Genomic DNA, 22989 nt, shown 5'->3' on the forward strand with positions numbered 1-22989 from the left:
GAAAGATCAAAAAGTAAACCACAATGCCTCTTATGATCTGGCCTTAGAAGCCACTTCAGCCATATACTGTTCACTAGAAAAGAGGTGCCAACTACTGTACAGCTCACACACAAGGAAAGGGGAATTAGGCTCCATTTTTTTTAAAAGACAGAATACCAAAGAATTTATGAATATGTTTCAAAACCACCAGACAAAAAATTCAAAATCTCCTGATTTTCATCATTTGGCAAGCACTAAAATAATTATTAATTCAAGCATTAATAAAGTAATTTTAATCCAATAATTTTTAAATTAGTGGGTGAAAGTTTTGATGAGAAACAGGAAATGTGCATAGTCTCAAAGTATCTTCTCAAAAAATATGTATTAGTTGCAAAAGGAATCACAATAACTTTATAGTGTAAAACTTTATAGTGTAAAACCTGGGCAAAAAAATTTTGACCAAGTTATCAAAATTAACATTACCAGTAATGAGACATAACAATACCATATGATTTTCAATACAATGGACTGAGAACACATAACATCATTTCTATGGTATTCATGCCAAAAATGCATAACTAAATTTAATCATGAGGAATATTAGATAAACTAAACCCAGGTTGATGAACATTCTACAAAATAACTGGATAGTAGTCTTCATTAGCGTGAAGGTCATGAAAAACAAAGAAGAGTTGAGATATTGATTAAAGGAGACTAACAAGACATGACAACTAAAAGCAAGGTATGATCCTGGACCAGAAAATGTACACTAATCAGACAACAAGGAACATCTGTATAAAGTCAGTTGATTAATTAAAAGCGTATCAATCTTAATGTCCTGATTTTATTTATTTATTTAGAGACAGAGTCTCACTTTGTCACCCAGGGTGGAGTGCAGTGGCCTGATGACGGCTCACAGCAAACTCGATCTCCCAGGCTCAAGTGATCCTCCCACCTCAACCCCCTCCTCCAGTAGCTGAGACTACAGGCACACACCACCATGCTCAACTAACTTTTTAATTTTTTGTAGAGATGGGGTCTTCCTATGTTGCTTGGGCTGATCTCTTAACTCCTGGCCTCAAGTGTTCCTCCCACTTTGGCCTCCTAACGTGCTGAGATTACAGGTGTGAGCCACCGGGCCCAGTCAATGTCTTGATTTTAAAAATTATACTGTGGTTATATAGCATGTTAACATTTGAGGAAGCTGGGTAAAGAGTATATAAGAATTTCTTGCATTATTCCTGAAATTTTTTCATAAATCTGAAATCATTTCAAAGTGAAAACCAAAAAAAATTATTATGTCTGAATATGTAATAATATATAATAAATATGTCTTGGCCGAGTGCAGTGGTTCCTGCCTGTAATCCGAGCACTTTGGGAGACCGAGGCAGGCAGATCACCTGAGGTCAGAGTTCAAGACCAGCCTGGCCAACATGGCAAAACCCATCTCTACTAAAAATGCAAAACTTAGCCAGGCATGGTGGCGCACACCTGTAATCCCAGCTACTTGGGAGGCTGAGGCATGAGAATTGCTGAACCCAGGAGGTGGAGGTTGTAGTGAGATTGCACCACTGCACTGCAGCCTGGATGACAGAGTGAGACTCTGTCTCAAAAAATATATATACATGATCAGTGAAAAATATGAGTGATACAATCACATCAGAAGCTCACTAGTCTCTAACGTGGGTAGCTACTGTAAAGAACTACCGTAGTTTTCTATACGGCCTCCATCTTTCCTTGTCTCTAATTCTACCATGCCCTCCTTGTGATCCAACACCAGCTGTCTGTCTAAAACATATATCTGATTCTGTCAATCTCCTCATTAAAATCTGTCAATGGCTTCTCATATCTTAGGATAAATTGATCTTCCCTAGCAGGGAATCCTCATATGAATCCTTAGCCATAACTACATGGAATTGAACACATTCCCTAAGGCACACCATGGGTCTCCCACCTCTGGGTCTTTGCATATTTTATTCTGTCTTTTTTGCCTGGAAAAGTCCTGATTTTTCTTAGAGACTAATCGCTAATGTCTATTTGTGAAGCTTTTCTGTACCCCTTCTCTCTCCAAATAGAGTGCGTTATTATATATCTGTTGTCTCCTACAGCACTTGTAGGGATTTCCCTCGCAGCGTTTGTTGTACTGTGTTGTAAGTAGGTACTTATACACCTGGGTCTTGTTTTGGTTTGTTTGGTTTTGATTTTTTTTTCCCTGAGTACTGTTAGGTTCTAGAAGGCAAATTCTTAAGCTATATTCATTCCCAGTACCTGGCACAGGAACAGACAAATGGTAGGTCTATTAGTTGTTTGTTGCTATGTTAACAAAATACCCCAAATATTAGCAGCTTAAAGCAACCAACATTAACTGTGTCATACAGTTTCTGAGAGTCAGGAATCTAGGAGCAGCTTTGATGAGTGGGTTCTCAGGGTCTTTCACAAGGCTCAATTCAAGGTGCCAGCCAAGGCTGCATCATCCAAAGACTTGGCTGAGGCTGCTGAATCTGCTTCTAAGCTGGTTTACTCACAGAACTGTTGACAAAAAGCATTGGATTCTCTTTGGCTGTTGGCAGAGGCCCTCAGTTCCACATGGCCCTGTCTATAGGTCACTGAATGTCTTCATGAGATGGCAGCTGGCTTCCTCCAGAGGAAGTGATCCAAGAGAGAACAAGGCAGAAGCCACAGTTTCTCCAATCATCTATCTCAGAAGTGACATACCATCACTCTGCCGTATGCTATTGGACCCACAGAACACCACTGACAAATGTCCAAGGGCACTTACCCAGCATGCATACCAGGAAGGAGGGAGTCATCAGGGGCCATCTTGGAGGCTGACTACCACAGTCGGCACTCATTCAACATCTGAATGAGCGAATGAAGTGATCTCCTCAGGACCACATCCCAAAGCACTTGTCAGTGAAGAACCAAAGTGAACTCATTTATCTTACAGAAGTCTTGGGTATAAAAATCCATCCCGGCCGGGCGCGGTGGCTCACGCCTGTAATCCCAGCACTTTGGGAGGCCGAGGCGGGTGGATCATGAGGTCAGGAGATCGAGACCATCCTGGCTAACAAGGTGAAACCCCGTCTCTACTAAAAATACGAAAAATTAGCCGGGCGCGGTGGTGGGCGCCTGTAGTCCCAGCTACTCGGGAGGCTGAGGCAGGAGAATGGCGTGAACCCGGGAAGCGGAGCTTGCAGTGAGCCGAGATTGCGCCACTGCAGTCCGCAGTCCGGCCTGGGCGACAGAGCGAGACTCCGTCTCAAAAAAAAAAAAAAAAAAAAAAAAATCCATCCCCAGTCACTGATTAGGACCACAAACAGCACATGAGAGAAGTTCCCATACCTTATTTACTGACTCTCTGAATAGAAGGACCTTGCAATTTTTCAGCAATATAAACTCAGAGCAGGGAAGATGGGATGATTCACCCGAGGTCACTGAGAAGATCAGATGACCCAGGAGGTCATCTGATTAGGATCCAGGTCTTAATCAGGAGTAGACTCCCTGCCCATTGAGAGTTATTGGAGTGAATTTTAGAGGAGCACACCTTTTGGGGGCTGTTGAGTTGCTTATAATGCTGAGTCTACTTCTATCTTCATTAAAGGGAGATGCATGGGTCCAGGGAATGGCCAACTCATAGCACATCAATATGTTAAGCTTTTCCCCTTTCTAATTTTAAGATGAGACACATTTCCACTACTTCCTATTCTCTGCTATAAAAGCAAACAAATAACTGACCATCCCGTCATATTTTTATAAAATATTCTATATTACTTAATAGCTATTTACCCTCAAGGAGGATTCATGGCCTCATCCCTTATTCTTGTCTTTTTGTCTCACACTAGTTCCCTGTATGGGCTGTCCTTTCCTTAACTTCTAATATCAACCTCTTGTTGTTCTACCAGTTCTGTTAGTTCCAGCCAAGTCTCTCCTCCTTCAAGAAGATTCCCTGATCATTTGCTTCAGGGGATTTGTTTCCTTATTAGAACAACCCTATTTTACCATTTGTTTCACTCTTAGGACATTTGACTTTTTTTTTTTTCTTTTTTTTGAGACGGAGTTTCCCTCTTGTTGCCCAGGCTGGAGTGCAATGGTGTGATCTCGGCTCACTGCAACCTCTGCCTCTCGGGTTCAAGCGATTCTCCTGCCTCAGTCTCCCAAGTAGCTGAGATTACAGGCATGTGCCACCACACCCAGCTAATTTTACATATTTTTTTTAGTAGAGACAGGGTTTCTCCATGTTGGTCAGGCTGGTCTCGAACTCCTGACCTCAGGTGATCTGCCCACCTTGGCCTCCCAAAGTGCTGGGATTACAAGCATGAGCCACTGCACCTGGCCTTGACTTCACTTTTTAAGTATTTAGGTACATGCTGGATGTGTCATACATATTTTTATTCTCTGTGTCCCCAGGAATAAATGAATACATTTGATTTCCTTTAATAGAATAAGAATTTAAATAAACCACAGAGGCTCTTTATACTTAAAAACTCTGGGGTAAATTTTCTTGCAATATTCAAACTGTTTTTCAGTCTTTGTTTGTTTTGCTTTTTATTGTGATTTCCGATTTTTAAAATTATTATATTTTTGAAGGCAGGATGCCCATACTGTGAAATTAACAGGTTACATATGTGCAGTATTGATACACTTCCCCTTTAACAAAATTTAATTCACTAATCACATGCATTTCTAAAGCCCTTTGAAAATGTGTGTCATGCTTATGGGTGGCCACATTCCAGAGGGCTGAATATGTGCTAGAAAAGGAGAGGAGGCTTGGGGGTGGGGAGAAAACCCTTACAAGGCAAGAGAACTGAGCATGTGCAAGACTCCTTACTAAACGAAGGAGGGCAGAGGAGTGCCGTTTTGGAAATATCAAGGGGAATGAAAAGAGAAAGAGAATTGACGGGAGAGAGAGGAATCTGCCCACACTCAGGGGATCATCCAGAATTCACAGATGAACAGGGTGCACTCAAGGAAGACTGCCCCTCCATCAGAGCACCACCCCTCAGTGACTGCTGACGTGTAAGACACTTCCAGCATCTTTTTACCAGGCCCCACCCTTGGGGATGCCCAGACCAAGATATCACTCTTTGCACTAAGTGACTCCTGAGATACCAGCCCTTTACCTGACTTACATTCTGTCATCCTGCATCAGAATTGTTTCGAATTTTTAGAGGTATTGTGTTATAATGGTGTTCAATGAAGTTGGAAGAATTCTGGCTCTGCTGCTTAGAAACTGGCAAGTTACCTGATTTCTTGGGACCTCCATTCTCTCATCTGTAAATTAGGACTAATAATACCTACAATGCAGGATATTTGTTAGGATTACACATTAGTTGGTACTCAATAAATGGCAGCTATTGAAAAGCAGTGTAGTATGGTGGTTAAAAGCATGGAGTCTGGATCTAGACAGAGGTTGAATCCTTGCTTTGTTACCTACTGTCTGTGTGACTGATTTTCTATGTGTCTCATTTTCCTAATCTATCAAGTGGGGATAATAATGGCACAGTTTCTATCTCGTAGAGTTGATGAAGAGATATGATGGTTATAATTCAGAGTCTGTCAGATAAAAAGCATTTAGTAGATGGAAGTAGCAGTGGTAGTATCAACAGCAGGAGTAGTAATAATTGTTGTTGTTATTATTATTACAAAATATACAGTGCAAGGCAACAGTTAAGACTGTGTGCTGTGGTGCTGAACCACTTGGATTCACATCCTGGTTCTACTCCTTTCCAGTTTTGTGATCTCACAGTCTCCATTCCCTCATCCTTAACCTGGGAATAATAATAGTATTGCCTTCATAGGATTTAATGAATTAATATATGTAAATTACTTCGAACCTGATAATAAACAATAAATAGTAAACAATAAATTTTAGCCAGAACAGTGATGGTAAACAATAAATAGTAAACAATAAAGGTTAGCCATTATATTCCCAAATTTCAATCAGCTATTGCTCCAGGATTTAGGCATTTCTGTGGGTAGTTTTAAAGTTTGATATCTTATACAATTAAATCAAATGTATGTATTATGTGGTGATTAACCTGTATACCAGTTCCCTGGGAAATAAACGGGCTTTCAGCCATAAAAGGTTTTCAGCTGGGTCCCCGCTGACCATCTCTTCAGTTTCTATGTGTATAGCAGATGGTGGACTGCATTTTTTTAAAGTATTGCTTCTAAAGGGAAGACTATAAAGTTCTTAGAAAAATAAAATGCTCTAATTACAAGAGAATGCCATTGTCTCGGCTGTCTCACCCCACATCTTAATGACCGATACTGTGGAATATGACACAAAGGGAAGAGATCTCATAATTAGGCACATTGGAGAATCTCCTCGTGTGCTACAGACTGTGATTTCCAGTGACACACCAAAAGCCAGCCACTATAAATCCCTTTTTACTTTTCTCTCTGGCTGTACTGCAGTAACAGCACAAGTCGTTCGTTCAGATACCGGAAAGGCTTACAGTCCAGGAAACTTTTTTTTCTTGTCTCCAGCCAATAATCTTGTAGCATGGTGATGTCACCCCACAGTTATGCAATATGACTTAACTGTTGGATAGGTGACAGGAATTCCACGGACACCAAGATCACAATGAAATTGCTTAGCTGCTAAATTAGTCATATTGTACATTAGAGATAAGTCACTTTTAAAAAAGCTGTGATTAACTGCCAGTTCAAATAGTACTATTCTTTGGGTAGGGAAGTCAGGACCCCATCACTCATAGTTTAAATGATCCCATCCAGTTATTCCAGCATCTGAGTAATACAAACAAGGTAGTTATCAAACTTCACAATATCACAGGCCACTTGAAAAGGGACCCAGTGTGAAAAGGAAACACTTTCTATCCTCTATATTTAGGAGGAATTTTGTACAAAATTTCCTGATTGTCTTCCAAAATTAGTAATTTTAATCTCTTGATGACTTTCCTAATCGAAATAGGATGAGAGTAGGATCCTGTTCCTCAATGATGACAAGGATTGTTTAGTATTGTTTTCTTTTTCTCACACAAACTGGGCTCTGTCCTACAAGTCAACTACACTGTGAAAGGGGACTTTTTACTGACCACAAGCCATGATGAGGTAGATGTCACTTATTCTACAATATCGATTGTTAGAATAATCCTTAAATCTTCCCATTTTTAACACATGTGTTAGAAAAACTTAGAAAACACTGAAAAGTACAAAAATAAGCAAAGCCCCCACAGTCCCATCCTTCCCAAAACAACCATAACTAAAACTTGGTTGTAATTTCTTCTAGCCTCAACAAAGATTGAATAAATACAACAGCCTAACAAACTTCTTGCCTGGCAGTGTGCTGAGTGCTGGGCATAGAAAGATAAATAAGACTTCATCACTGCCCCTCAGGAAGTACACAGCTTACTGTAATGGGGTATGTAAACACAAAAAAGGCATTTAGCCCAGGCTGCAGAGAACGGAATGTGGGGTGGAGAAGATGCAAGGGATTATCAGAGCAGATTAGAGAAATCCTAGAGTGGGACTATTCAAAGTTTTGTCCACTAGGTGACTGCAGATTTTACAAGCAACCAATAGAAACTGAGAGTCCTCATTTAAAATTTTCAGAGCAATTTGACAGAGTAACTGTAATTCTGTTGAATCTAATAATTTTTAAAATTGGGTTTGTCTTTTATATTTTTTATCTCATTTTTGTTGTATTTATTTTTATTGTATTTTCAAAAATATCAGTCCACAATGGATTGGAGATTTAAAAATATATAAAACTCTATTCTCATGATGAAGAGTTTGAAAACCACTATACTCAGAGATTCAATAGCTTAGCCAAGTGTAGGGTGACCAACCATCCGGTTTGTGCTAAAACTGGGAAAGTTACAAGCAAATCAGGTGAATTGGCCACCTTAAAAGTGTTTATTTCTAAGAAATAATTATCTTCATGAGTGAATAGATGAGATGAAGGGGAAGCAATCATCATCAAAGAAATAATAGAAGAAAAATTCTCTCAACTGAAAAGAGGTCAGTCATTAGGTCAAAAGGGTTCACTAACGGGCAGCCAAGATTAAAAAGAGTGCTGCAGCTAGCTGTACTTTCTAAATTTCAAGGGCCAAGACAAAAATCCTATATGATTACACAAATTGAGATGAACAAAATAATCAGGTGGTGAAACAGTATTTTCATTTCTAGTGAAATGAAATTTCTAACGAAAATGCTACATTTCTTTAACAAAAAAGATGCTTGCTTTCACTTTCTAAATTGAGAGAAAAGAAATAAGGAAGAATCGTCCTTTATATACAAATGTAACAATGAGGGTAATAAAAGGAAAACAGAAAACAATACCAGGGAAGAGTAACATGAGAAGATGCTAATATTAAGAATTAACATAATTTTTTTGATTTGGCTTCAAATTTGGCTCTCAGCTTCCTGGCTGGGGAAGAAGAGGTTAGAAATCACAATCATTAAAATTGTTGCTATGATGATGAAGGAAGAAGCATATATGTTTCTCAGCAAGACATGTTTTCCTGGTACTGAAATCTAAAACAAATTCAAAGAGTTTAATATTGGGGGCATTAAGTGGTGTGGTAGAGCTACCCTCGATAGCATTTCTACAGTAAACGTAGGAGTGAATTTCACATACCTGCTTCTTGCAGGGATCCTCAGGTCAGTGAAATCAAGATGTCTAAGCACATTATAGCCTATATACCTTATTTGATTCAAGGATAGAACTTAAGAGTACCCTAGAAGAGTAGGTAAGTGGCGTGTCACTTAGTATTCTCTGATTATTTCTCTCAGCCAGGCTTGTAAAATAATAGGTAATTTGAGGTCTCCTAATATCTGAAAGTAAGTTACTCTGGTGCTCTCTATCGCTGATTGAGGGTATACAAAACTTCCAGTTTCACAGGAGATACAATTGGACTTTGTTTACTTTCAGCACTGATATTAGCATTGGACATCAATTCTGTGCGAGATTAGGCTATTATGCTTCACATAATGAATATTATTTTAGTAGGTGTAAAAAGCCTTTAACATTCTTACTGGTTTTATTCCTCCTCTGGCACTCTCAATAAACTTAATAAATATTGTAGCACTTTCATTAATGCAAATGGCATTGTTTATCAAAATATTGTTATAATACCCAGTTCTCATAATTTTAAGTTAGAAAAACTTTCTTCATATGTAATCTGTTTGAATGAGCAAGAATCAGTTTGCAAATCAAGTATGTACATTATGATCAATTTTCAGAAAGTATGTATTTGTATGTATGTATTTCATAAATTGTATAATATCTACAAATATATAAGCACAGAAAAAGCATTAGAGAGATGCCTAATGTTAGCCCTGATTATCTCTGGGTGACAAGATTTAGATGACCTATTTTTTTCTTTTTACTTTTCCATATGTTTAAGTGTTCTACAATTAAACTAGTATTATCTTTGCAAGAAGAAAAATAATATCATTGTTTACTTAAAGGCATGTAGGGGTGAAAGCAATTAATGTCTCTATATCATCCCTAAGGCAAATCAGTCAGGTGATCATGCTGCCCTCTCAGGGCTTATATGTTGATTTTAAGAATTGCATAGTTTAAGAAACAGCACAATTTGGGCCAGACACAGTGAGCAACTTTGCCACTTTTGCAGCTATTTGACTTTGGGCAAATGTTTAAACTTTTGATTCTCTGGTTCTTCATCTTCAAAATGGAAACTGGATTGTTTTAAGCATAAATGAAATCTCTGATATAAAGTGCCTGGAATGAAATAGGTGCTCAATAAATATTATATGCTTATTTGCTGGCCCCATTCCTGAAAGTGTTAGACCTGGTTCTACAAGTGTTAGTGCTCTTCCCTACAGTGGCTTTATGCAAACCTGGCTTCAGTCCAATACAAGTATTGGAGGAATAAGGAGACTTAGTCTCATTTTTCCCTTGTTCACTACTTTAGAGATGAGAAAGGGAGGAAAAGGAAGACTTACTGCGGATCTACTAAATATCAGGCACTATGTTACGTGTGTTACTTTGCTTAAGGAAGGTTCTCTATTTTTTCCCAAACACTTAAACATCTGTGAAGTGTCTCAAGTTTCTACCTTATTAATACATTTATCTCTGGAGAACTATTTACATTATATCACCACTCATACTAAAGCAGTTTCGTTATTCCTGTTTTTATCCTCAAAGACTCTTAGCTGTGACATAGAGGTTTGGTGAGTTAGGTCACCATCACAGTTAGGTCACATTTTTAGAACTTCATTTCATAGCATTTGGAACCCTAGAAGTGTATATTTTATTTTTCTATCCCTTTATTTGCATGTCAGTATGTCTCCAGTCTTTATTTTTTACATTAATTGGGCACTATTCTGTCTCTTTAATATATGGTAAATGTGCCTTGTTTAAATGAACCTCATTCTGTGTGGAAAAAGTTAGACAGAAAGCTAATGAAATGGGTATCTCCAATCACCAGTCCTCAGTTTTGAAAATTTGACTAAATTAACCTTACTAAAAAGAACTGAATCTCATCAAATTTACAACACTGGAAAACATTCCACTATGAGAATGTTTCTGGGTCTGTGACAATTCATTTTCTATATAACTTTGCCTCAATATTTCAGACAGAGACAGTTAAGCAATTGTAGAGAGGCCTGCAGCATTTGGGAATGGGGCCTCCCTTCCTAATGATCTATTGCAGTTGTATTGCACATGGATTGCACAACAAAGGTTTCTATTTTCCTACTTTTTTTCTTTATCACGTGCCAACTAAGCCTTTTTTTCTACACTCCCTTAAAATCTGACCCTTTCTCATCTTCTATGCTTTTGTCTTCCTGAGGTGAAAACCCTAAGAAGGCAAATTACTAATTGCATCCCTCAAAGCCTCAAATAAATATGATGTAATTAGCCACACAAACATGACCTGCATCTTTTCCCCTGAAAGCTTTCCCAGCTATTTGTCCACTAAAGCATGGTTTTCTGCAAACTCATTTCCCAGGAAATGTCCTCGAATGGCATGTGATCTTTCCATTTTAGACAAACTGCCTTGATCAGGTGTCACCCAACTGACCTGCTTTTTTTCTGCCTTTATTTCCAACACAGTGTTGTCTCTACAGACTATCAACTAAGTCCTGGTTTTTCCTCACAGAATTCCATTCTCAGCCCTATCCCTACACCACAGTTGACACATGCACTAGTTGGTTAACATATGTTTTATTACTCCCTCATGATTCTCACTGGACCTCTGAGTGACCTTGAAGTGCTGTGGTCATTTCCCCAGTGCTTTCCTCCAATACTTTGGTGGTATGGAGCTTGGCTTCAGGTTTGTTGTCATCTCATTTACTTGTTTAGTTTCCAGTTGGCTGGGAGCCAGCACTCTGCACTCTGCTCCATGCTTACGTTGCAAGCTACCTATCCAGGTCACAATTTTTATTTTTGTGTCTCTCACTATTTGAGGGAGTAAATCCAACACAAAGCAGTGAAGGTGAATGACAAGGGAAGAAATTAACAAGGGCTCTGGGATGCTCTTAGAGCATGAATTGCAGAGCAGAAGAGGTCCTAGATGCCAGCTAGTCCAATTCTATCATTTTCCAGGCAGAGTTGATACCTCCGAGTTTAAAGTCATAAGCCATTCAAATAAATTAATACAAGAGCTGCCAGGAGGAACATTTCCAAGTGGTTGAAATCTTTGACTTTGAAATCATGTAGACCTGGGTTAAAATCCCAAGCTGTGTGGCCTTGTACAATTAATGTAAACGCACAAATCCATAGTATTCTAATCTATTAAAATGGGGATAATAACAACTGTCTTACTGGGTTAAGCTGAATATATGATTGCTATTCATTTTTAACCAAAAACCACCTCTATTGATTTTTAGTCAAATGCTTTTTACAAGGTAATGTTACTATTATGGTTCTAGTGCCAATCTTCCAAGATTTCTAATCTTTACTAACAGTGGTCTGACTTTGAACAACTTATTTACAAAACTGTGTTTCAGTTGATTAATCCATAATACAAAGCTAATAATGATACCTAGTAAATAGGTAGATGTAAGAATTAAATAGATAATCCTTGTAAATATAGCATTTCACATAGAGTTTAGCATGTAAAAAGCAACAAAGCATTGAAAGTTCTATATAGTCTCAAATGCCCAGAACAAATGAATGATCAGGATACTCTCCTCCCATGTACTCTCAGAAACAGATCCAAGGTTATACACTTGGTTCTTTTTGGCTCACAGTGCTTATATTCATTTATTCAACCTGGGGCTTAAACAATAGGTAGCATTAGACCATGTAGAGATGGAAAAAAAAATTTTTTCCACCAAATCAACCACTATGAGCAAAGAAGAGAAAGGGGAAGGTGCATGACATGTCTCTTAAACAGTAAGTAAATCTGTTTGGTTTCAAAGGCTTCAAATTGCCCTCCCCACCTGTAGACTCATCCCCTCCTTGCTGCTACCAGAAACAAAATACCAATTTGAGCATGATTACAATTTTCCCAATTTTAGTGTTCCACATCAAATTCAAAAATAAAGTCCCAACCCCTTAGCACAACCTCCCAGGCCTGTCACAATCTCTCTCTGCCTAACTTGCTAGCCTCAATTCCTCCACTCTGCCAACTGCCCTCCCTGAGACATGTGCATTTATCTGAATCATCTGACTCACCTTCAGCCCTTTGCATGAGTTGTTGTTTCCTTGGCCAAAAACATTGCCCTACTAGGCCTTTAAAACTTAGTTCAGAGGTTGCCTGTAGGAAGTCTTCTTTGACACCCTTTGCCTATCCCTGACACTCCCCCAACACAAACAAGAGCAGAGGTCCTCCTTGGAAGTCCCATAGCATCGTATGTTTACCTTAAGCAAAACTGGCAAGACATGGATTCCACATTTGTATCTCTCTCCCTCTAGAATGCAAGTTCCCTGACCACAGAGGTTGGGTCTTTTAAAGAACCTACTGTGTGCTGAGCGCTGTTGTAAGCACTGAGAAATAAAGAACAAGAGAGGCGAAGTCCCTGATGTCTCGGAGTTTATGGTCTTATGCGGTAAGTCAGACAATTAACAAACAGATAAAAGCATAGTGATAAGTGCTACTCTAGTGTACTAAAGAGTAGTAAGAGAGAAAAAGGAAAACATAAGATCATGTGGTCTAATCACGGCAGAGAATTGAGGAGGAGCCAGTGATGCCTGGAACCAGGGCAAGACTGCTTGATCCTGAGGGCAGAGTAAGAGCTCAGATATTTGCGGAGGGAAGGAAGGAGCTGGTTGAGATCTAGTTCAAGGATATAAAAGGGATTCAAACTCCTTCCATATAGAAACCAGTAGTACAGTAACTTTCCAGTCCAGGAACAAAACGCAGAGAAAAGCACCAACATTTTCAGGTCTAGTTCAGACTTGGAGCCTTGGAAGGTGATAATGGTTTGGATCTGTGTCCCCACCAAATATAATGTTGAATTGTAATCCCCAGTGTTGGAGGCAGGGTCTGGTGGGAGGCGATCAGATCATGAGGGCGGAGTTCTCATGGATGGTTTAGCACCATCCTCCCTTGGTACCATATAGTGAGTGAGTTCTCACGAGATCTGGTTGTTTAAAAGTGTATGGCACCTCCCCCGCCCCATCTCTTGCTCCTGCTCCAGCCATGTAAGACTTGCCTGCTTTCCCTTTGCCTTCCATCATGATTATCAGTCTCCTGAGGCCTCCCCAGCCACACTTCCTGTATAGCCTGTGGAACCATGAGCCAATTACACCTTTTTTCTTTATAAACAATCTCAGGTACTTCTTTTCTTTCTTTTTTGAGATGGGGTCTCACTCTGTCATCCAGACTGGAGTGCAGTGGCGCTATCTCAACCCACTGCAACCTCTGCCTCCTGGGCTCAAGTGATTATCTCACCTCAGCCTCCCAAGTAGCAAGTAGCTGGGACTGCAGGCACACACCACCACACCTGGCTAATTTTTGTATTTTTGGTAGAGACAGGGTTTCATTCGAGACCAGGGTCTCGAACTCCTGGACTCAAGTGATCTGCCTGCCTCAGCCTCCCAAAGTGCTGGGATTATAGGCATGAGCCACCACACCATACCTGCCCTAGGTATTTCTTTACAGCAGTGTGAAAATGGACTACTACAGGAGGGGTGGCCAGAGGCTATGCTGAACTGGTGATCTTAGGGCAAAATAGGGTTTTTTTTTAAAGAGATGGGGTCTTGCTATGTTGTCCAAACTGGAGTGTAGTGGCTATTCATAGGCCCAATCATAGTGTACTGCAGCCTCCAACTCCTGGGCTCAAGTGATCCTCCTGCCTCGGTCTCCCCAGCAACTGGGACTATGGGAATGTGCCACCTTGCCAGGCTTGGTGCAGGTTTTTATAAGCCAACATTCCATGAAGAATAGCCCAGAAACACTAGACTAAGCCCTGGAGTTGCTGGGAAGCCTCAGTTTGGGAAATACTACTCTCCCAACCCCCACCTCACCACCACCTGGGCACTCACAATGTACATTAGCATATTTAAGGCTCTGAATATCTCAGCATGTGGAAAACCTGGTACACTTTTATTTCCCAAATTAATCTGACCACTGTATGCTTTTTGTTTTGTCTTGATTTGTTTGAATACAATACTGTTTTAATCATGTGAACAAGTATTTTGTAAAACAGACTTTAGGAAACTGGTCTAAATCATTCTCCATAACCCACAAGCCTAATTGTGATAATGTCTAGCTTCCAGTAATTTTGTTCAGTAGAAGCATTAAATAAATAAGGTAATAGGACTTTTGAAAAGATATAATAGTTTGGTTTGCACATGTGAAAGTAGAAGGTGCAAGAGTCTCAATAAGTCTAATTTCACCACATTTATTCATCTTAAAATAATTTCAACAGAACTAAAAATGGCTAATATGTGTAAAGATAAATATATATAAATATATACTAATATAAGTTTTATGAAAAAACTAATTACTAAAGGTTAAATTTGAATTCGAATGCATTTTTATGCACTGCAGATTAGTCAGATTTTTTAAGTAAAATGAATCATTTCTGTTCAACCCAGTGCAAAACAAATTAAGGTTATTCATCACAAACCCATCTTGCTTATTTTAATTACAACCACTTTAAATAGCAGAACTATTAGGCTCTATAACGTTAATTTTTTAAAATTAAATACATTAGATTTCATAATAATATAGGTACTTAATGGAGAGAAAAACTCCATGTCAAAGGCTAATTAATATCATTGACACTTTCCCAGTAACTAAAAATAAGACTAATAGCAAGTTCCTCCAGTATCATGCTATATTATAATATATACAAAGTCCATTGGGAAATTGACTTCATGCTTCTTTCATCAGAGTAAATCCAACCAAGGCTGGGTGTGGTGGCTCATGCTTATAATCCCAGCACTTTTGGAGGATGAGGCCAGCAGATCACTTGAGGCAGGAGTTTGAGACCAGCCTGGCCAATATGACAAAACCCTGTCTCTACTAGAAATACAAAAATTAGTCAGGCATGGTGGCTCACGCCTGTAGTCCCAGCTACTTGGGAGGCTGAGGCAGGAGAATAGCTTGAACCAGGGAGCCAGAGGTTGCAGTGAGCCAAGATCCCACCACTGCACTCCAGCCTGGGTGACAAGAGCAAAACTCCGTGTCAAAAATAAATAAATAAATAATAAATCCAACCATACAAAATTATTGTTCTAGCCATTCAAAAATGTTAGATTTATAAAGTTCACATGTACATCATTACTGTATACAGAACTTACTTCCTAGCTAAGCTTGGATTATAGCCATCTTTGTCAAATTAACTCTTCTAAGTTTCCAGCTTTCTAATACCTTTAAAATTATGGGGCATCTTAAATAAAGCTACCTCAAAAGAAGTCACTGAGTAAATGACTGCTAGTAGTTTAGTAACAATAAATATCAATGGTGTAATTTATTCTCAAGTCAAGTTTTATCAATAATTTGCTACCTTGCCCAAACTGGTCTTCAGATATATTAAAGAGCAGTTTAATTATTCATCTGCTTAATGTACATCTAATAAAATAAGGCCAGCATCATCATTAACTAGAATTAACCTAAGCCCTCCACAAATATTGATTTATGTAAGTCTCCAGTCAAAACTCACTTTTTAAAATCTACCTTTTATTTGGCTTCTAACAACCAACTGAGAATTATAACTAAGAACTTTGCCATATTTTAACAAATGCTTGGCTGTTTTTAGCATTTTGATACTTATTCTTTACAGAATAAGGTACTTTTAGCACTCATTTCAATAGATTTTTCTTTTAGATCACTTGGGTCAAATATCAGGAAAATAAATAAGAAAATGGTCAACTGAAATGCTCTCTTGACTGTTAAGTGTCACATCTATATGATAAAATACCATGAGCCCATTAAAACTCACATTGCATGGGGAGAGAGTGGTCTTTTCAATAAATGATAATGGATCAGTTAGATACACACATGAAAACAAAATTTGACCTTCTACCTCAAACTATACACAAAAATCAGTTTTAGATGTATTGTAGATCTAAATGTAAAAGGTAATATGACTTTTAGAATAAAACATAAGAAAATACCCATGACCTTAAAATAGGCAAATATTTCTCAAACAGGACACAGAAAGCTTTAATCACAAAATAAATTGATAAACTGGACTACATTAAAATTAAGAACTTCTATTTCATGAGAAGTCACCATTAAGAGTGAAAAGGCAAGCCACAGAATGGGAGAAGATATTTCCACTACAAATCTGTATTTCCACTACAAATCTGGCAAAAGGACTCATCCAGAATATTAAAAAAGGCTCCTGTAAGTCAATATGAAAAACAGACAACCCAGTTGAAAAATAGGCAAACAATTTGAGGAAACATTTTACAAAACAGGATATCCAAGTGACTGATAAACATATGAAATGAAAACCACAATGAGATGCCACTACCTAACCACCACAGTGACCAAAATTTTCCAGCATTTCTTTAAGTGAACATATCATCATTACAATTAAAAATACACATTTTGGCTGGGCGCGGTGGCTCACACCTGTAATCCATCATTTTGGGAGACCAAGGTAAGTGGATCACCTAAGGTCAGGAGTTCGAGACCAGCCTGGCCAACATGGTGAAAACCCATCTCTACTACAAATACAAAATATTAGTCAGGCGTGGTGGCACGCACCTGTAATCCCAGCTACTCAGGATCCTGAAGCAGGAGAATTGTTTGAACTCAGGAGGTGGAGGTTGCAGTGAGCCGAGATCACCCTATTGCTCTCCAGCCTGGGTGACAAGAGTGAAACTCCGTCTCAAAAACAAACAAACAAACAAACAAAAAAACACATATGATCGATATGCTCCTGCTGAATTTATATGAAAAGAATAAATATATATGTCTTGTCTGTCTAGGTAAAAGAAGAATATCAAGTAAACTATTACCTTCAATGGCCTTGCCTTTTTAGACTGTGCATATGAAGTGTTGACAAGAAAGTGAAACAGGTAGAACTTTTAAACATGACTGCCAAGAGTGTATAATTGGTATAGCCACTTTGGAGAACTGTTTAGCATTATCTATTAAAGCTGAACATATGCTCGCCACATAACCCAACACTCCCTTTCCTAGGAGAGAAAGGAGTGCACATATCCACTAGAAGAGATTTATAAAAATGTTAATAGCAGCACCATTTATAATGGCTTAAGATGAGAAAACAACACAAATGTCCATTAAAAATGGAATGTTTAAATAAACTGTAGTATATTCATACAATGGAATACTATACAACAACAAAAATGAGCCATAGGCTGGGCACGGTGGCTCATACCTGCAATCCCAGCACTTTGGGAGGCCAAGGCGGGTGGATCACTTGAGGCCCAGAGTTCGAGACCAACCTGGCCAACCTGGTGAAACCCCATCTCTATTAAAAATACAAAAATTAGACAGGCGTGGTGACAGGTGCCTGTAATCCCAGCTACTTTGGAGGCTGAGGCAGGAGAATCATTTGAACCCAGAAAGCAGAGGTTGCAGTGAGCCGAGATCATACCATCACATGATCTGGGCTCTGGCAACAGAGCGAGACTCTGTCTCAAAAGAAAAGAAAAGGAAAGGAAATGAGCCATATACAAAAACTGAATGGCTCTCACAAGCAAGATGGGAAGTGGCACCCCCCCAAAAAATACTACATACTACTGTATGATTCCATTTATTAAAAAGTCCAAAACCAGGGGCCGAGGGGAGAAGATCTATGCTTTAAAAGTCAGGATCATGATAACACTTTCAGCATAGTGCCTGGAAGGGGATATGAGGGAGGCTTTTGGGGTGCTGTTATGTTCTCTTTCTGGAGCGCTGTCCTAGTCTGTTGGTTACATGGGTATATTCACTTTGTGGCATTCATCAAGCTGCACACTTACAATTTGTGCATTTTCTGTATGTTATACTACAATAAAATTTATATTAAAAAATCTTTTTATACATATTTGTATAACATATTTTCTTTTTTTGTACTTTTTCTATATTTGATTTCCTTAAGTGAACATATCACCACTGTAATAATAAAAGACAAATACTGTTTTTATGCTCCTGCCAGGATTTATACAAAAAGAACAAACCAGACTTATCAACATATAGGTGGTCTTGCCTGCCTAGACAAAAGAAAAAGTTTTAAGCAATTTCCTTCAATGGTCTGGAAAATTGTGTCAAAATGTCAACCTGATATCAAATACATCTTATATGAAATAGATTATTGAGGTGCTGTGAAGTAGCCTTGGATAAATATGGTCAAGAACAAACTGCCTCTTCAATATCAGGAACTTCCTGCTTTAGAAAGTATCTGAAAAACTGCCTCAGTTTGCCTATAAATCCTAGCACAGCAATAGTTTACCTGACAATTGGACATTTTAAATACCACATCAGAAGTCCAGTGAAATGCATTTTAATAAGTCACAGGATACCCCAGCTTTCTTCTAATATAAGAAGTAAATTAAAAAAAAAAAAAGCAGCCTGGGCAACATGGGAAAACCCGGTCTTTACAAAAAATACAAAAATTAGCCGGGCATAGTGGTGTGTGCCTATAATCCCATCTACTCGAGAGGCTGAGGTGGGAGGATTGCTTGAGACTGGGAGGTCAGGGCTGCAATGAGCCATGATCGCGCCACTGCACTCCAGCCTGAACAACAGATCCAGACCCTGTCTCAGAAAAAATAACAATAAAAAAAAGAAAGAAAGAAATGAGAGTAAATGTTTTCTCATTCTGTCCTTCTCTTCTCCTTCTTTGCTTGTCTCTTCTCTCTCCCTTTTCTTTTCTTCTCTTCCTCTTTTTCTTCCCTTTCCCTATTTAATCTCAGTCATGCGATCGCCAGTGAGGCTAGAAAGTTTTAAGTTTAGTTCTCCTAGTGTTTGAAACACAAGCTGAAGTGAAGGCCCTTGTTATAACTGGGAAATTAGCCTCCAGCCTCTCTAAAATTGGAAGTGCAGAGAGAGAAGGGAAAGTGAACAAGTATCTGTTTCTTCTTCCCTCTCCCGCTCCAGCCCCTCCCCCTTAGTTCTCCAACCCGGGCCTCACTATAGGTCAAAATGAATGCAGCTGCCCAACACTGTGATGCGAGCTCGTTCACACTGACGGACACTTTTCTCATGTTCACGTGGTAGGTCACAGAGCAGTAGGGGAAAGGGAAGTGGTGATGCAGTATCTACTACCTACGCTAGGGGTAGGGGACCAGAAAGTTGCTAGGGGAAAAAAAAATATTCGAACAGTGAAATGGAGCGTGTAACAAAGTGGAGGAGAGTGACTCTTTGAACCGCTATGGTGGCAGGAAGAGCAAATCAGGTGCTGTGTTACAAAAGAACAGGGAAAAAATGTACAAGTGAGATGGTATATATCCAAGTTATTTGAAGACCCTGAAATCCTTCAAATATTAGAGATTATAGCTATGATGCTAAATGCCTTAGGGACTTTCAGAAGAGCTTGTATATTTAAAAGGGGTGCAAAACCTCGAAAATTTATAGGCATCCTAGAAAGTCCCCCAACAGAAACTCTGAAACCTGCATCGAGACTTCCCATTTTACAGTACAAGGAAGGTGGGGGTAGGGGATGGGGTGGTTTCCACCGGGCCCAGCAAAAAAAAGCAGAAAGGTCACCTCCTCCCAATCTGCAAGTATCTGAAATCCCCTCATGGAGGATTGTGACATGAGGCTGAAAGACTCAGAGCACACAGGATGAGACCTCAGGCCAGAGCCAGGTCAGCTCAGCTCGCAAAAGAAGGGTGGGAAGTTCCTACTCTGGTGCTGCTGGCACACCATCCCCCAGAATGGAGGCAGGAGTGGGAGGCAGGCTGCCTGGCAGAACTAGGTGGAGAGGGAAGAAAATGGCCTGAGAATGCTGACTAGATTTGAGTATTTGATGTCTGAAGGGGATTTGGGGTGAGGCAGGGAACAAATGACTTGAAAAGAAAACCACGAAGGCAGATGAAAGACACAAGATAGAAGAGGGGAGGCTAACTATAAGAAAGTGATTGTGGGCAGGTTGAGAGATAGCCATTGGGACAAAAGAAAGTGGTCAGTGAGGGCGAGGAAGGAAGAAATCAGCCTCAGAAGGAGCAGAATTCACACCAGTCTGAAGCCCAAATCTGAAATAGATTCACACATTATTCAAGCCCAAGAGTTGTGGTTTGGGGTGCCCTTATATGGGGCTGGGGGGAGGTGGCAGGAGGGGTTCTTTTTAAATAAATGAACCATAAATGATTCAAAAGATTTTTTTAACTTTTTATTATGAAAAATTGAGCATACAAAAAAGTAAGCAGAATATAATAATGACCTTCATGTACCCAGTACTCTGATCCAACAATTGTCTAATCCTGGTCAATCATGTCATTCAACCACAGCCATTTTCCCGCTTCTCATATTAGTTTTTTTTTTTTTTTTTTTAATTATTGTAGTAATGGCTGGGCACGGTGGCTCACACCTGTAATCCCAGTACTTTGGGAGGCTGAGGCGGGCCGATCACAAGGTCAGGAGTTTGAGACCAGCCTGGCCAACATGGTGAAACCCCATTTCTACCAAAAATACAAAATTATCTGGGTGTGGTTGTGCACACCTGTAATCCCAGTTACTCAGGAGGCTGAGGCAGCAGAATCGCTGGAACCCGGGAGGCAGAGGTTACAGTGAGCTGAGATCATGCCACTGCACTCCAGGCTGGGTGACAAGAGTGAAACTCCATCTCAGAAAAAAAAAAAAAAAAAAGTGACCACAATGTCATTATACCTCAAAAAGTCTTACCATCAGGGGATATTTTGGTGGCATTTCTACATTAAAGCCTCTCTTGTTACTGTACCCAAAAATGCTTGTGCATTTTAGAAGAATTTGGAAAGGTGAGAAGAAATTTTACTAAGAGAAGGGATCAGGAGGTAAAGCTGTATCAGGAACCCTGGGAAGGACAAAGACCTAGCAAGAAAGACTGTTCTAGGCTGGGCACGGTGGCTCACACCTGTAACCCCAACACTTTGGGGGACGAGGCAGGCGGATCACCTGAGGTCAGGAGTTCGAAACCAGCCTGACCAACATAGAGAAACCTCTACTAAAAATACAAAATTAGTTGGGCATGGTGGCGCATGCCTGTAATCCCAGCTACTCGGGAGGCTGAGGCAGGAGAATCACTTGAACCTGGGAGGCAGAGGTTGCTGTGAGCCAAGATTGCGCCATTGTACTCCAGCCTGGGCAACAAGAGCAAAACTCTGTCTCAAAAAAAAAAAAAAAAAAAAAAAAAGATTGTGTTCTGTGGTTGGTCATAGAATACAGCTGTGCAGTGGAGGACATGCGTCTTATAAAACTCCATACTTAGCTCTAGAGAAGTCTGCAGCAATCAGTAGACATCAAAAAGCCAACATTGAAACTGCTCTCATTGAAAGCAGAGAATTAGGGGATCTCTATAGCAGCAAAAATGGTGTTTTCTGTTCTGTCTCCCTTCCCCCAATCTATTGTACTAATATATTATGTGCATCATAAAATATTTAAAAAACGTATCATTAAAGGATGTGATTAAAAAATAAACTTCTTATATTTTTCTCACACTCTAATACATCATCTTGCACCCCTCACTTTGGACACCACAGAGCTTGATTGTCACTGTTACCCCAAGTGTAATCTTTAAGTGGGTGATAGAGAAATCAGGTTTGGCAGGTTGAAAAAGAGCCTAGGGACACCTATGCAAAGGACAGTAGAGGCCAGTGGTCTCAACTCTACTGTACATTAAAGTCGGCCTGGGAGGTTCTGAGAAATGTGAACACTCAGGTCCCACCCCATATGAATCAAATTAGTAATTCAGAAGGTGAAATCTGTGTGGCTTGGTTTTTTTGTTTTGTTTTTTTTTGAGACGGAGTTTCAATCTTGTTGCCCAAGCTGGAGTGCAATGGCGCGATCTTGGCTCACTGCAACCTCTGCCTCCCCAGTTCAAGTGATTCTCCTGCCTCACTCAGCCTCCCGAGTAGCTGGGATACAGGCGCGTGCCACCATGCCCGGCTAATTTTTTTTGTATTTTTAGTAGAAACGGGGTTTCACAATGTTAGCCAGGCTGGTCTCGAATTCCTGACCTCAAGTGATCTGCCTGCCTTGGCCTCCCAAAGTGCTGGAATTATAGGCGTGAAGTTCTGTGCATTTTTAAAAAGTTCCTCCAGTGATTCTTACAGGCAGGGTTGAAAACCCACTGGTGTAGGTGTTTAAAAAAATAGTTGCTTAACGTGAGGATATTAGTTCTGATTTTAAAACATTTTATTCTGCCATTTTCTCATCTAGGAGTGGGACAATGTTTCGCAGGGAAGTGAGAGGAAAAGGAGGGTAGAAAAACTTTAAAGTAGAAATTAGACCTAATAAAAGAATAGTGAAGTTCTCTCGAAAAAGGGTGGTTTTCATTTCTATATTCCAGGTTCTAATTTACTACATCTTAAACTGATCCAAAATTTTGACAGACCTTATTTTCATTCAACCAAAGGCACTTACCCTATTAGATTATTAAAATTATCTAATGACTATTTCATATTGCGATCATGGTTATTTCATATGTCAAAATAATTAATCCCGGCTACTTACATGTTTTCTTTTTAATCAA

The 22989-nt window shown here is 39.5% G+C and overlaps 5 annotated features.

Moving 5' to 3' along the window:
* Positions 4535 to 5403: an enhancer, noted in NCBI's record as "NANOG-H3K27ac hESC enhancer chr3:150087822-150088690 (GRCh37/hg19 assembly coordinates)". NCBI's record gives its function as "activates a minimal SCP1, AML or CMV promoter by ChIP-STARR-seq in naive H9 embryonic stem cells {active_cell/tissue: H9 hESC(naive)}" and the evidence as "EXISTENCE:reporter gene assay evidence [ECO:0000049][PMID:30033119]".
* Positions 6362 to 6656: an enhancer, noted in NCBI's record as "tiled region #6181; HepG2 Activating DNase unmatched - State 1:Tss, and K562 Activating DNase unmatched - State 5:Enh". NCBI's record gives its function as "activates a minimal TATA promoter and a strong SV40 promoter by Sharpr-MPRA in HepG2 and K562 cells {active_cell/tissue: HepG2 | K562}" and the evidence as "EXISTENCE:reporter gene assay evidence [ECO:0000049][PMID:27701403]".
* Positions 19129 to 19378: an enhancer, noted in NCBI's record as "active region_20684". NCBI's record gives its function as "activates an Ori minimal core promoter by ATAC-STARR-seq in GM12878 lymphoblastoid cells {active_cell/tissue: GM12878}" and the evidence as "EXISTENCE:reporter gene assay evidence [ECO:0000049][PMID:35858748]".
* Positions 19751 to 19920: an enhancer, noted in NCBI's record as "experimental_65240 CRE fragment used in MPRA reporter constructs". NCBI's record gives its function as "activates a minimal promoter by MPRAs in K562 erythroleukemia cells, with activity observed for both the introgressed and non-introgressed 3:150103123 variant alleles {active_cell/tissue: K562}" and the evidence as "EXISTENCE:reporter gene assay evidence [ECO:0000049][PMID:34662402]".
* Positions 19979 to 20288: an enhancer, noted in NCBI's record as "active region_20685". NCBI's record gives its function as "activates an Ori minimal core promoter by ATAC-STARR-seq in GM12878 lymphoblastoid cells {active_cell/tissue: GM12878}" and the evidence as "EXISTENCE:reporter gene assay evidence [ECO:0000049][PMID:35858748]".

Source organism: Homo sapiens, chromosome 3 (assembly GCF_000001405.40).
Source record: "Homo sapiens chromosome 3, GRCh38.p14 Primary Assembly".
NCBI classification, from domain to species: Eukaryota; Metazoa; Chordata; class Mammalia; order Primates; family Hominidae; genus Homo; species Homo sapiens.